The sequence below is a fragment of the Homo sapiens genome, chromosome 18, assembly GCF_000001405.40.
Source record: "Homo sapiens chromosome 18, GRCh38.p14 Primary Assembly".
NCBI classification, from domain to species: Eukaryota; Metazoa; Chordata; class Mammalia; order Primates; family Hominidae; genus Homo; species Homo sapiens.
In genome coordinates, this window is record NC_000018.10 from 23,819,202 (window position 1) to 23,834,679 (window position 15,478).

Here is a 15,478-nt window from a genome sequence, read left to right on the forward strand (position 1 = left end):
GTAGATTGTTAAATGCCACACAATGTTGGAATATTTTGGATACTTCTCTGTGCCTACCACAGCTGAGCTCTTGAAAAGAATTCATTAATAGGCATATAGTTTAAGAGAAAACAAGGCATAGAAGAGTCATTCTAATGATTAAAAAATAACATATCAAGAAAATATATCTAACTTGTAAATTTAGCATATGAAATATTTTATGTCATGTTCATCATTATACCTATGGTCCTTAGCAAGAGTGCCTGGCACATAGACATTAATATTTATGTAATGAGTGAATGAATATATAAATGAATGAGTGATTAAATAAATAAACAGTAAATAACCTAATCTGACTTTGCTAAATTGTTGGCAACTATTTAGAACATACTAAAGGATGCTACCACTATGGCTTGTGCTAAACGATTTTCTCATCTTAATGCTTGGAATTAGTAGGCGTTGAGTGTGTTTTATGTGAATGTTTATGTGAATTAAAGCAATAATTTGGAGAAAGAGCAGAAGATCTTTCTCATTTGTCCTTTATTTAATGTACTCTGTCAATGTGGTGGAGTTCTTTCATAGTAACTATTGTGATTAAAAGATGTTCAGATGATCTATGGACCTAACCTCCTGTATGTGTTTACTTTTTAATTATGAAAGGCCTGAAAACAACTACTATTTCCCAGATTTGCATCATATGAAGTATGAGATTGAAGACGGCAGCACACCTAATGGGAGAGACCTTCGATTTGGATTTGATCCGCTGGCATTTCCTGAGTTTAGCTGGAGAGGATATGCCCAAATGACCTCAGTACAGGTACGCAACCCGAAGAGAGCAGCTTCATGGCTGAGTAGCTCAGATACTTCCCCACACCAGTCTCAGGGAGCCCCCTGAAAGGTGACCTGTCCCCAGAACTGATTCCACGATTCTTTTTCTCTATATTATGGGTTGGCATTGGAGTTTAGGTTAAACCTGGGGTTTGGGGTAGGGCTGTATATTAACTGATAAGCATATGTGTGGATTTCATAGTTCATTGTTACTTTAATTTGATTACCAAATCAGAAAATTAAGAGATTAAAGAAAAATAGTGTTTATCTCTGGAGACTTTTTATAGAAGGGGGAAGTTTCCTAAATGACGTTAGGCTGTACTAGAATGTGAGGGACAGTTTTCTTTAAAGCCATTTGTGGAAAACAAAAATGAGTTGGCTTAAGTAATTCCAGTAAAGCTAGTGTTCCTAATTTTTGGCTGATGCTTTTTTTAAACTTTGAATTGCTATGTACGTGGAAACTAAGATAAATAATGAATGTTTGTTAGTTAAGTGCTATTTCATTTTTCTTTTCCATATTTCTCTTTCCTTCATTCTTCTCTACTGCATCCATCTATCTTGGCTTTGTATTAGAATGAGTAGGGGAATTTATACATTCTTTGTTTACCTTTAGAACTTATACGTCTTGCTACTTATAACTAAAAAATTCTGTATAGCCATTGAGTAGCTTTGTCCTCAGAATTTGTCTTTGAGTTGGTTTCTTCAAGCTGTTTCTCAGTGGAGAAATTCAGAATATGAGAGGTAAATTAACGATCATGGTAACACAGTCTTTTTCATTAGCGCATCCAAGACTGCTGCTTGCTGTTGCTACCCCAGTCAGCCTGTAGAGAAGCTGGAACAGGGCCACAGTACTCTCAGACCCCTTCCCCTCATTGATTCTAATGCTGTTTTTTACCTGGCCAAAGTCCCCCATCCAAGCGGCCTTTCTGAAATGGTACCTAGGATCTTAAGACACTTCACTCTTTGCCCCCACTCCCCAAATACAGCTATTTAATTTCTTTAGTTCCCTGACATTACTTCACTATTCAGAAAACAAGCAGTAAATTCCATTGTGTCATAATAAGATGTGAATGACTGACAACCCAATCAAAGGGTATACCTTCTCACAGGTGCTTACAGTTTCACACAATAGCTGGTGGACACAAAGGAATTCATCTCTAATGACGCATTTTCTGATAAAGTTATTTTGGTCAGAGGACCTTGATGGTGTCCCCAGCATCACCACTTACTTTACTCTGCTCCTAATAGATTTTTGCATATTTGTTTTCCATCTGAAACTAACACTTAAAGATGAATTCAGACGAATTGTGAGGATCAGCAGGAGTTCCTCAGTGTGGGTCACCTGTAGCTCCTGCTTTCAGAGCAAGTGATTCTGCACAAAGTCAGTCTTTATTGTCACCAATATCTCGCTTAAAAAAATATCCCCTTCCTTTTAAACAAAGAAGTTGGGGGAAATGCTAAAAGAACCACTGATTTGGGAATTTCCAAGTTTCATGAAGTTTCCTTGGGCCACAGCCCAATCTGGACATGCAGTCAGTGGTTCAGAATTAAAATAGTCTACTCTTTCCTTCAAGGGTCCAGGCTCCACAATGTTTACAGAATATTGTGTGAGCCCAGGCCCTGGGGACCAACAGAACCCCTCCTCTAGGTTGAAAAGCCATCATTTCTTTGCATAAGGAATTGAGATAAAACATCATACAACTTAATAGGCATATTTTAGTTACACCCAGATGTTACCACTATTGTATTTGGAGTCTTTAACCTTTCCTTGGCCACCGTTGGTTTCTGTGACCATTTAGACTTTATGTATGTGAAGCGGACTCTGAAGCAGTCTCTCTTTGGTGGTGTGAAATAATACCCTCTCCTTTCCTTCTCTTCTGCCTTTTTATTTTTCCTAGCCAGTGGTGGTTGCTCCGTCACTGTGGCTTTCTTAAACTAGCCCATCTAATACTCCACTCTGTCTGCCTGATTACAAAAAGGTCAAAAGAGGATCTCAGTTGCTGAGGGAGTGCGTTTTCACTGTAATTTTGATTGTAAGTGATTTTAATTCATTGTTAGGTTTGCCTATTTCCATCTTTCACAAGTTACTCGGTGCTCGTTGACTGAGTGTGAGTGTGTATGTGTGTGTATGTGTGTACATTACAAGTCCAGTAGTGACACTTGAATAGAATAAAGTCACTGTTTGGCTAGCATGTCTTTTAACCATTTTTTTCTATGCTTTATGGCGTTTCGGTATTTTTCAGAATGATGTAAGAATAACATTGAATGTAGGGAAGTCAAGTGGCTCCTTGTTTCGTGTTATTCTGAGATACGTTAACCCTGGAACTGAAGCAGTATCTGGCCATATAACTATTTATCCATCCTGGGGTAAGGCACGTAGGTAAAATGTCAAGCCTCTTTTCAATTAAGAAATAAATAGTGAAACACTTTCTCTGATTTTCACAAAGTTGATCACCCTTAGAAAATGTCAAGCCTGGCTCATGGTCTGGTTAGACGGTTCTCTAGGAGCCCTGTCGTTTGTTACCTTGCATTCTCTAAACAATCACTTAAGTTTTGCTACTGAATTTGTCCTTAACTGTCATTTTAAAAATCGATATAACAACCTATGTACCTTGGCTGAACCCCATGGGTTATGATGTCTTCACTGAGCAGAGCTCATTTATAACTCATTCACAGTGACGAGGGTGTCACTTTTTTGGTGTTATTTGAGAGATTTTGGCCCGCTGCCCTAAATTCTTCCATTGTTTCAAACCAACCAAATAGTCAGAGGAGAAATGGGTGAGGATGGGAATTTTTCCTATGAATGCTGTAAAGCATGAAGCCCAAATGAGTTCCAGGAGGGAGCTGCAAACCTGACTCAGGGATGAGGAATTCCTGAGGGCAGAGGGACAAGAGAAGAGAGCACAGCCTCGCCACAGGCAGAGAGAAGGCCCGCAGGTCTGTTCTTCAAGGTATTAGGGCTTCTACCTGTCCTGGAAACAGATTCCAAGAAGCATTTGGAATTTTACAAGGACACAAAATGGCACCAATGGAAATCTAATTTAGGATCAAAATGTACGCCATCTTTGTTAAGCATCCACGGTTCATTCAGAATGGGGGAAGAAATGATGTCATTTCCGAGTTGTGTCAACCCAACTTGCGTGGCTGGAGGTTGATTAACCCATTGAATGAACTAGCAGGCTTACTTCATCATTCACAGAGTAATTTAGCACCCATTGCCTCACATCATAAGAACTTGGCAAACTGAGGAGAGTTGAAGAGAAAACAGAGCTGAGAGGTTTAGTAAATTGCCAGCCACAGCTGGATGTTTGTAGACAAAGTCTTCAGATTCCAAACTCTTAACAGGCCCCTCTGCCTCCTGCGTGACAATAACAGCAGCAGTTTGTTCTCTGTTAACTCAAATAGTTGGAATACATTTTGCTTCGTTTCCTTGTCCTCCGGGACACCTTTCCCCTAAGTCTGAGTTGGGAGCCCTAGTTATGTTATGTCCCATGGTAACTGGTGCCTCCTCCCAAATACCACTGTCCAAACTGTACCACATTTTCCTGTCTTCTAGTCCTTATTCCTCTCTGGTCCTCACCAGCAGGGAGCAAAGGCCATGCTTACTGTGTTTACTGCCTTGTCACCAGAACTTAGTTCCAAGCCTGGCACATAGTAGGCCCCCATCAATGTATGTAGAACAAGAGTGAACCCAAAGATTTGGAGAAGATAATTCTTTGAAAGAAAAAGTCTCAATTGAACTTAGATGCAATAGTTTATTTCTTTCTGAACCTCTTGTAGAAGGTCCTCTCTTTGTTTAATGCAGAAGAAAACATATTTTTTCCTGAAAACAAACAAACGGAAGTGTAAAACTTTTTCTTATGCATGTTCATTAATAAAAATTAAAACTTAAAAATCACATATGCTGTAGTCCCAGCTACTTGGGAGGCTGAAGTGGGAGGATTGCTGGAGCTCAGGAGTTTGAGGCTGTCATGAGCTATGATGGCATCTGTGAATAACCACTGCACTCCAGCCTGGGCAACATAGTGGGACCCTGGCTTTAAAAAAAACTCACATATAAACAAGAAAGGAAAAAATAATTTAGTAGCTAATGTAATATATTGAATACTTACTATATGCAAGGCACTTTCCTAAACTGTTTACAAGTATTAATATACTTATTTAATAAGTTAAACAATTATTCATAATCCCAGTGTAGATAGCCATTGCTGATGTCTTATCAGTATCTTTCTAGCCTATTTTATACATATGTATTTGCATAGTACAATTTTTAAAGATAAGATCAGTAAATCTGATCAGTACATATCATCTTAAACTTTTTGAGATGTAAACTGAATGTTCAAAACTGAATATCTAAAATCATAACACTGACTGATAGAAAAATGCCTTAAGCAGTTCTTTGTATTTCTGATAGGTGCTGCTCAAAGCAAAGAGATCATCTTCCTGCCGAGTAAGGAGCCAGCCTTTGTCACTGTCCCTGGAAATGGTTTTGCAGACCCATTTTCAATCACACCAGGAATATGGGTTGCTTGTATTAAGGCAGAAGGAGTCCTTCTGGTAAGACTTAGTTCTGAATGGAGAGCTCCTGCGGGATTCTTCCTACCTCAGAAGTGGTTCCATCCAAGACTACAATCCACAGCGACCATAAAATATCACAATCATTGGTGGTTTTAGACACAGGAACAATTCAGCCCCAACCTAAGGAAACTGTGGTGACATTCACCCTCAAATGACATAGGAATCAACTTGAAGTATCTTTTGTATCCTTTCAGCTAGCTTCTCTTGGACAAAAAAAATAAAAGATAAAAAAGGTCTCCTAAAGACTCTTAATTATCAGAACAAATGCGAAGCCTTCATGAGTATGTGGCTTCACCCTTCCAAAGCTTGTATGGGATTTTCCAGCATGAGTCAGAAGTATAGACTTTAGCACTCATTGCCTCACATCATAAGAACTAGCAACTTCACCTGGTTATTGTCTACACTGTCTGGAGATTGTGTAGAACCAAGGAAGAATAACCTAGAAGACAAGCAGATATGGATTTCAGTAAAGTTCTTGGGGGTGGAAAGAGAAGCAAGAGGCTACAGGAGCCACTGCTTCTCCATGACACTCTTTCTGCTTTCTTCTGTGTTAAACCTAAAGCAGGTTTATTCCCACCAAACAGATTGCCTACAACAGAGAACTCTTTGTTCAGGAAAGGCTTTGTCTGCAAACACCTAATAGAATAGCCAGAGAAGCCATGGGGAGTTGGAAGGATGAAACCTGTTCTCTGAGACAGCCCTCTTTGCTATGTGCTTTAAGGCCTGCTTTGCTTCATGGCAAGGTCTTTTCAAAATAGAGTCCTTGGGAAAAGCTTGATTTCATGCTCTCAAGTGGAAAACATAAAGCTTTTCCTTCAGGCACAACCCTGTTTATTGGCCATGTTAGCAAATCTTAGGAAAGTCGCTTAATTCCAATCCTGTCTCTTCCAGTCCTGCCAGTTGCTTCTTCCATACAACAGGGACAATACTTATCTTAATAGGTCCTTCCAAATTGGGATCTTACAAGGATAACATGAGGGATTGTTCTTTCCATTCAAGACAACAAAGGAACATCAGAAGGTCTCTGCTCTTCTTGCATCTTCTTAGTAGGAAGCTTTATTGCTTAAAAAAAAAAAAGTTCAAGAATGTTTCACAGATGGTAGAAATGAGGCAGAGGAAAATTCCATTGATACTAGTAACGGGTACAAAGTTGGACTCACGGAAAGTAGAAGTTCATTATAAAAGTTACTGTTTAGGCATGGAAGATGCCTAATGACATTATCATTAGGCATCATAAGGGTGCCTATGATCAACCTTTACTATTCTATTATCTGTGAGACTATAAAGTCATGAGGAGAGAGGAGACATGGTCCCAAACTCAGCAAACTTACTAGTAGAACAGTAACCCTTTTAAAATTTAAACCTACTGAGTCCCCTCAGCCACAATCTCTTACTTTTCCCCTCCTATACATTTCTGTCTGAGGAGAGAAAAAGCTTTGTGGTCTGTGTATGAGCTCTTTGCCCTCCCCTCTTCCCTCTGCAGATATGTGCTGCTGTCAGGACGGCTAGGGGCTGTCAATCATTCACCTCCCAGAAGCCTGCAGCTCTGCTCTTTCCTGAAGAGCTGCTTAGCTGAATTTACGTTGTGGGCTTTGTTTGGCACACTCAGTGGAACATGTTCTTCCTCTCGTTTCTTGGGACAGGCAGTAGGCCAGTTCCATTCTGTGAATCACCAAGATCACAAGGCATTGCTTTTTATACCGTGCCAGTTGAGCGTTACTCGGGTGTGGGAGTAGAAAGTGATCCACATTCAGTGTTCTGTACTGCTGAAGGCAACCAGCATTTCCACAGAACATTTCATCAGTTGACAATTTATTATCTTTGTTAATTTGTGAATTTATAAACAACCAAGGAGAGACAGTAAAATCTCTCTTGAAACTTGAAGAATAAAACTGTTCACACTGACAAGTTTCTCTCTGATACATAAAGAATCTTTGATGAGTGGTTCTTTGTGTTTCGGTGAGTCGGGATGAAGAACAAAGCAGTTGATATGGAGAGTTTAACTAGCGACTTCACCTGGTTATTATTGATTTAACTAGTATGTTTGATTATTTTCTATCCAAAGTAGGGCTACCATCAAAATGAATGATTCTCCTTTTGGTCTTTATTTTCTAGGATTACCTGGTGCTGCTCCCCAGGGACTACTATGAAGCCTCTGTACTGCAGCTGCCAGTCACAGAACCATGTGCCTACGCAGGACCTCCCCAAGAAAAGTCAGTGTGGGGCAGAAGGTGCAGCCGCATCATTGGGGTCCTCTAAATTAGGAGCCTTTAATGCAAGCTTTCATGAGGTGTCTCAGGATCACAACGACAGCATGATGCTCTGGATAATTAGTTGTTATCTTCCTCTATGTCTTACTTGTGTTCTTCAAGTAAGATTCACAAAGCACTTTGCACACCATAGCTGGCTTAGGAGTGGCTACCACCCTCCAGCATGTGGGAATGTTGATGCATGCCCAAGTCAATGCCCTCAAGGTCAGTCATACATCTGGTGGGAGGAAGAGCTTAAAATAGAAGCCAGGTTTGTGGACCTTTGTTTCTTCTCTTCCCCATGCAGATGAAAATTTATTGCTTAATTCTTGTAGCAGACACTTAATAAGAGTTTATTGAAGGATGATGAATGAATGAGTGAACTGAATGACTGAGAGTCTTTGGGGATGTACTTTGATATTCCGTTTGATGTTCTCAGTTGTAACTATTGATTCCATTGTTGTTGCTGTTGTTGAAGTTGCTTACTCTACCAGCATTTGCCAGTGACCAGATTCCCCTGTACCCTGGCTTGTGAGGCCAGACACTTCCTGCTTGATGGGGAGCCAAGACCCGTGGCAGTGAGGCAGCCCACACCTGCACACCCTGTCATGGTGGACCTCAGCGGGAGAGAGGTGGGCCAGCCTTTTATTTATTATCAAAGTTATTACTACCTCCCCATCTGTATCTGCTAAAAATACTTGGCCACAGTTGCTTCTCAAATTCAGGGGAACCTGGAAGAATTTCTCAGAGGTGTTTATCAACATTTGCTGAACTATCTGATTTAGGGTGGGGCTGGATGGTACGCTACATGGAGCCATGTTCAGGTTGTTCTTTGAGCACTTTCTAGACATGGCAGGGGATGTGGGCATCTATAGAATCCTTTCTTTTTGGTTATCTGGACTTAGAAGGGGGCATCCTGTTCTACATGATTCAGGGCAAGATTTCTCTTAAAAGACAGATGAGACTCAATCTAGTAAGCGTCCAGAAATGACACAGCTTACCCTAAAAGGATACCACACTCACTGACTGTTCAACCCCTTAGGCTAAGCAATTTGTAGCAGCTGAATTCCTTGAGCTCAGAATCCGGAACTTCTACATCCCCTGGCACCTACCTCATGGCTTGGAGGACAGGTTACTACAGGTCTTGGTATTACTTTTCTTCCAGGAGTTCTTCGAACTTCAGAACCAAATTTAAGATCATACTGATTTCAGATTCGAGTTAGAGCTATAGGATATCAACCATAACAATAAGAATACACAACACTTCAAAATGAAGACACTGAAAGACTTCCTCCACTATATTTTTATTCTTTGCTCTCTGTAACATTCTCTGTTTTGTCCTTTTGAGGAAAATATTCATTTGGGGGATTAAATTTGTGGGATGAAAATATATGTGGAGTTAATTGTAACTGAACTTTTAGATGTGTACATTTTTGTAAACTACATTTCTAACATTTTGAAGGTAGCAGTTAAAGGTTTTTAAGTATATTTCTTAAGTAAAGTCTTCATTTTATTTGAATTTTCATGCTACGAAATAATATTTACTTGTAACAAGTAAAACAATATAGATATGCATAAAAAACCTAAATGATCTTCCCTCTACTTCATTCTAATACTAAGTTTGCTGTATCCCTCCCTACACATGCTATGTGTGTATACACACATACACACATACATGTATATAGGTGTACATACATACATATATACATAAAATGCACATACACGTACATATACAGGTATATGTATGTGTGTGTGTATTTGTGTGTGTGTGTTCCCTAGACAACAAGAGGTACCGTTGAGAAGGGGCAACCACCAGGAAGTGATGCTGATGACTCATCTAGGAGGTTCTAACCTCTGATTTAACCCAGAGCTATAGCACAGAGCTAGTCAGCAGGACCTCAAGGCTCTTTTACAATACGGAAATATTTTATTTCACTATCTCTGGTCTAGAAATTATCCAGCTTATTGATTCAGTTTAATTTATACTTTTAAAACTTTTCAATTGGCTCTTTATCATATTTATTTTTTCTTGTCTTTTCTGCCAGTTTTTGTTTCAAAACTTCATGTACTTTTAAGTGGAAGTTACTTCTTCATTTAGCTTTTTTAGTATCCTAAAGGCCTTGGAGCCAGGTGTATTTCAGAATTCAAAATTTTTAAGATTTGAAAAAAGATAACATCTCCAGTGAGGTCTGGGATAATACCCTATAATCAAACAGGTTAATATTTCTCCAGTGAAAAGCATGAATAGGCACACCTAGGGAGACACTAACTGACTATATACATAGACTTATATCAGTTTAGTTCAGACTTTGCCAGCAAATGATTATTGGTTAGGTTAGGTTTGCCACCAAAACAGTTACAAAACCTATTTCCTTTTCAGAGTTTGGGGATTTCAGATCATGGGCCAGTATATTTAAAGTCTTTCTCAGACTATTCCATAAAATTCACCTCATCTGAAGTGAACTCATCTCTGATTATTTTGTTACCTGTCTTTCTTAATATTCAATTTATGTGTTTTGAATTTTGTTTACAGGCATATTGGCTTATTTTGAATGAGAGGTTTTTATCCTCTCCTTCTTTCGCATCTGTTTCAGCCTGCTAATTTTGCATTGTCTTAGCTGTCCACTGGATCCTTAGCCCAGGAGCAGGCATTACAGTGTGCCTTCTCTATTGTTATGACACTGAAGATAGGAGATTCAGACATTGACCCCATGAATGGCATAGCTCAGTTCTTGGTCATGAGGCCACATATTTGATTTTTGGTTCCCAAATTCCATAGCTTCTTTTAAAAATTTATTTAGTTTTATATATTTAGGGGTACAAGTACAAGTTTCTTATATGCATATATAACATAGTGGTGAAGTCTGGGCTTCTAGTGTACCCATCACCCAAATAGTGAACATTGTACCTAATAGGTACTTTTTCAACACCCCCTCCCATCCCTCCACTTTTCATAGTCTCCAGTGTCTGTTATTACACTCTGTATGTCCATATGTACCCATTGCTTAGCTACCATTTATAAGTGAGAACATGCAGTATTTGACCTTCACACAGCTTCTTATAAATCCATAACCCAGGAGGCAGATTGGAAGCAATTTTTAGCTTCTTTTTAAATTTGAACATCCTTGTCTTCAAAAAATGTGCCTCGATCTGGCCGCTGTCTCCTATGGCACATGTTTTATTCTCTTAACTCTGCATGAGCTAAACTGCTGACCAAAATAATCTGCTTCCAGACCTAGAGGACAACAGGCTTGTGACTTCAGTCCTGGTGCCATTTTGGGTTTTTCTTTAACTTATGTTTTATCACCTATTACTTTTGATTCTAAATATATCTTTTTGTTGTTCTTTTAAAACGTTTTATCCAGAGTTGGTCTCTCTTGGAGCAGGAGTATAGTGAATGTGAATTCTCTGTGCCATCTGAACCAGAAGTCACCCATCTTTAAAAAATGCTAACCTGTTTTTATTAAAATCCTCCTCTCTCTCCCTCAGCTCAGCCACTACACCATACTCCTCCCCTTCACAACAAAACTCCTCCAAAATATTGTCTACACTCTGTGTTTCTAATTCTTTATGCCCTACTCACACCTCAACCCACTTCAGTCTGGCTTTCACCTCCCACTCCATTAAATTTATTTTGCCAGGTTTCCGATGAGATCTTTGTCACTAAATCCAGTGGATATGTTTCAGTCCTCATCGGTTTAACTTCTCGGCAGCTTTCGATGCCTGATGGACACTCCCTGAATTCTCAAACTCTCTCTTGTTTTTCATAATTTAAGAGCTGTCTTAATAATTTAAAAATTAACGACAACCTGATTCTCTTTCTGCCTCTCTCACCGCTTCCTCAAAATATCATTTGCAGGCTCATCCTCCTCTGTCTAGCCATTAAGTGTTAGAATTTGTCAATGCTCAGTCCTAGGCCTTATTACTCTATGTTCTGTCTCGAGGAGTCTGATCCATGGCAATTGTATCAGACCCACCTCCACACAGATACCTCCCATATTGTTATGCCCAGTCATACCTCTGCTTTTATATGCAGACCAGCAAGTCTACCTTCCTTCCTGACATTACCTCTTTGATGTTTCAAAGCAACCTCAAACTCCATTTCGGTATTCCCTACCTAAATTAATGCTGCTACCATCCATCTAATTGCATAAGCCAAAATTCTTAGGGTCATCCATGACTTCTCCAATTCTTTCCCGCACCCAAACTAATCTATCTGTGAGTGTACATCCCGAACTTTTCTTGGCATTCTCCTTCCATCTCCCTTGTCCAAAATACAATCATTTTTGTGAGAATCTCTGTAGAAGCCTCCTAACTAGCTGACCCACGTCTGCTCTGCCCATTGCACCTCTTGATCTTTTCTCCAGACTATAGCCAGCACTCACATTCTGATGGGAATATTTGATCAACACTTACTGCTCTTAGGATAGAGACAAAGATTTTAACATGGCTTATAAAACTGCCCTTTCTACTTCCCAATTTTATTATACTCCCTCTTGCTCTCTGTTTCTCTGCTCCTCTGACCTACCTTCAGTCTCTTGGGCTTGCATTTTATGGGACCCTACAGCATTCTATGTTGTATGTAGCCTCCTACTGCAAGCCGTTCCCTCTACCCAAACACTCTTCTCTCCCCTATGGCCTGGTTGTCTTCTCCTTGTCCTCCACACTCAACTAAGTTGCTGTTCTTCAAGGAAGCCTTCCGCTCTCCCTCATCTCCTCGACTAGCTCAGGCCCCTGTCTTACACCTCTGCAGAACATTATTCACATGTAGTTTTATGCTGTGTTTGTCTAGTTATCTAATTACTTGATTCAAGTCTGTCTGAGGGTATGTCTGTCTTGCTTCCCATTGTATACCTATCACCTCGCTGGTGGACTGGCATAGCATAGGTATTCAGTAATATTTGCTGACCAAATCATTTGAATCCTCATTTTGACATCAGACATATTAGTTATCCCTTTTAGTTTGTATAGGCAACAGATTTGATAAACCCACTTTCCATGTATTTATCCTAAAACACTAATAACTAGTGGAGGTCAGTTCTGTGCCATAGAACCAGAAATATTCCTCCAGTTTGACACTGATTCCATTAAAGTTCACCTTTTTAAAGATAAATAACACACATAAATAATCATAACAGCAAGCAGTAAAGTTTCTGTGTGCCATCTTTTATGTCTTTTATCTGAGTTTCTCAAACCTGACTTTGCCCATCAAATGTACCTTAAACTCTTCAAACAAGTCTTCCAACAGGTAATCCATATAATTTAGAGTGGAAAGAGTAGTAGAAATTTATAATAGAGTGCTAGATAGAACTTGCTGCCAGTAATAACTTCTGGGCGAAAACCTGGTACATCACTGACCTGTGAGTGTTTTGTGGTGGGGTAATGACAGTCAGGCCCTTGTTTGGAGATGCCCAGGGGAGAAATGCTGGCAGTAACCTCGCCACACGGAGCAGTGGCAGAGCCATATTTCCCTCTAGAACATGGAGTCAACATTGGTATGGCTGATCCACATTCTTTCCCAGAGGGAAATCTTTCTGTCATTTAAGTGACAGAAAAAAAAATCACTGTGGAAAATAGCAGTTACGTGGTTCAGAGCCTTTCAGAAGGAATACCAAATGTGAATTTCCTAAGGCAGGGAGAGGGAGGACCATTTTAATTAAGTGTGGTAAATCTTGCCTGGGCCTGAGCTTGCAGGCGGAGGTGGGTTACACTGCTGAGGAATAAAGTTCTAATATTGGCCCAGGCATTAAGTATGTGTACACACTTTGACCCAGCAATTCCACTTCTAGGAATCTTACAGAAATACTAGCATTAGGATATATGCATGATGATTGTATACCATTATAGGTTGTAGGGAAAATTAAAGACAACCTGTGTCCCTCAATAACGGATTTGTTAAATAGTTTTATATTCATACCACACAATGGTAGGCAGCTGTTCAAAAAATGAAGTATATTTGCATGTAAGTGTATTTGCATGTATATATTTTTGCAATAAAGACATGTAAAATACCATTGAGTAAAAAAAGCAAGTCATAGTAAAAAGCAATAATCAAATTATAATAATTAATATTTACATAGTGTTTTTTATATGTCAGATATACTTCTGAGAGCTCTGTATGTATTCACTTAATCCTCAGAACAATCTTAAGAGGGGGGTACTATTGTTATCTGTATTTTACTAAGGAGGACACCGAGGCATACAGATGTTAAGTAACTTGTGCAAGATCACACAGCTGGAGGCTGTCTGATTCCAGACCCCAAGCTCCTAACCAGTAGGTGATATCAGGGGAGGACACACTTTTTCTGTAAAGGGACAGATAGTAAATATTTTTGGTTTTGCAGGCCCTGTGGTCTCTGTCATCATAGCACAAAGACATCCCGAATTGTCTACTATGATCACAGTTTTTCTTAATGAAACAAAACGTGTGTGCATATTTGGGCATAGAAAATGGTTTGGTATGAAAATCATTAACAGTCCTTATTAACACTCCTTATCCCAGGAGCGAGATGTGTGTGTGTTTTACATTATTTCCCTTGATACAATTTAAAACTTATTAAAAAAAAAACAATTAAAGAGCCCAAAGGCACATTTCCATTCCCCTTATTCCTCATCAGTACTTAATTTTTACTTCAAGTTTTAGAATGTCTTTTACCTTGAGAAACAAGCAGCAAAAACACTCCTGGGTAGAAATAGTAGAAGTTTCTCTAAGTAGGGCTGCCAGATTTAGAAAACGAAAATACGGGATGCCCCATTAAATTGTCCAAATAAACAATAAATAATTGTTTGTTATTTATTTCCATTTAAAATTTAACAGGGCACCATGTGTTTTATCTGGCATCTCAACCTGTAGGACCATATTCCTTACTGGGATGACATATAAAAATACTTCCAGGGTGTCTTCTGGGCTCTATTTTCACCATTGCTGATGCAAGTGTGGCCTGTACATGTCACAGCTGGATCACAGTCTGTCTGCTTGGCCTCTGTGACAGGTGGAATTGCATCTGCGGCTGCGCATCCCACAGGTTGGCCACTACGTGGTTGTGGTCGAGTATTCCACGGAGGCAGCTCAGCTGTTTGTGGTTGATGTGAATGTGAAGAGCTCCGGGTCTGTTCTGGCAGGCCAGGTGAACATTTACAGCTGCAACTACAGGTACTCAGCCCCACCAAGGGAATTCCTCTGTAAAGGAACAATTAGGAAATCTGCCTTAGGAACTTTGGCTGTTACTTGCATTGGGAGGTTATTTTCTTTTTGAGGCAGCTCTTGAAAACAAGCAGGTGACTAGTTGTGTGGCCCAACGTCATCACCAGTGTGGGTATTGGGAGTCCTCTCTATGGGCAGTGTAAAAATGTGGCATTTTCTTAAAAAGCTGTATGCTGTACTTAGCAATTTGGTTCAGATTCACATGGCACAGCACAACCTTTTTATTTGATTCTCTATCACTCAGGTGCGATGCAATGAACTCACTGCTCTCACCTCAAAGGCTGTGTCAAGTACCTGGGTGCATAGCACAAGGAAAAAGACTCATTCTCAGTAATGTTAGGGGGTGCACACCTACCTTTGCAACACACCTTCAGAACTGGGGATAATTAATGTTTGATGATTGTCAAGTGGAAAAAAAAATTAACAAAGGACTTCAAAATTTGCCCTGATGAAGTTCTTCTCTTCCAAGAGCACTAACTGACAAGGGCTTATTAAAAATGGTTTTGTTTGCATAATATTTCAAGATGTGTGCAAATGTTCAGAGCATGCTGTAATTAAAGAATCAGCACAAGGGGTGTTTCCACATGAAATTAATTGTATACTAAATGGGACTGGAAGTCAGAGTTCCTTGAAACAGCAG

At 39.6% G+C, this 15,478-nt stretch overlaps 1 protein-coding gene across 12 annotated transcripts in view; it reads left to right on the top strand.

Moving 5' to 3' along the window:
* Positions 1-15,478, top strand: part of LAMA3 (laminin subunit alpha 3) — a 265,614-nt gene that overhangs the window by 129,749 nt on the left and 120,387 nt on the right. For 4 of the 12 annotated variants that reach the window (XM_011525978.3, XM_011525982.3, XM_011525981.3 and 1 more), the window contains 6 exons: positions 640-796; positions 3,051-3,183; positions 5,222-5,364; positions 7,501-7,616; positions 8,113-8,266; positions 14,627-14,787. In XM_011525978.3, coding sequence (XP_011524280.1) covers positions 640-796; positions 3,051-3,183; positions 5,222-5,364; positions 7,501-7,616; positions 8,113-8,266; positions 14,627-14,787 — 864 coding nt within the window. The remainder of the gene's footprint in view (positions 1-639; positions 797-3,050; positions 3,184-5,221; positions 5,365-7,500; positions 7,617-8,112; positions 8,267-14,626; positions 14,788-15,478) is intronic. The other 8 variants (NM_198129.4, XM_047437506.1, NM_001127717.4 and 5 more) reach the window with 4 other exon arrangements.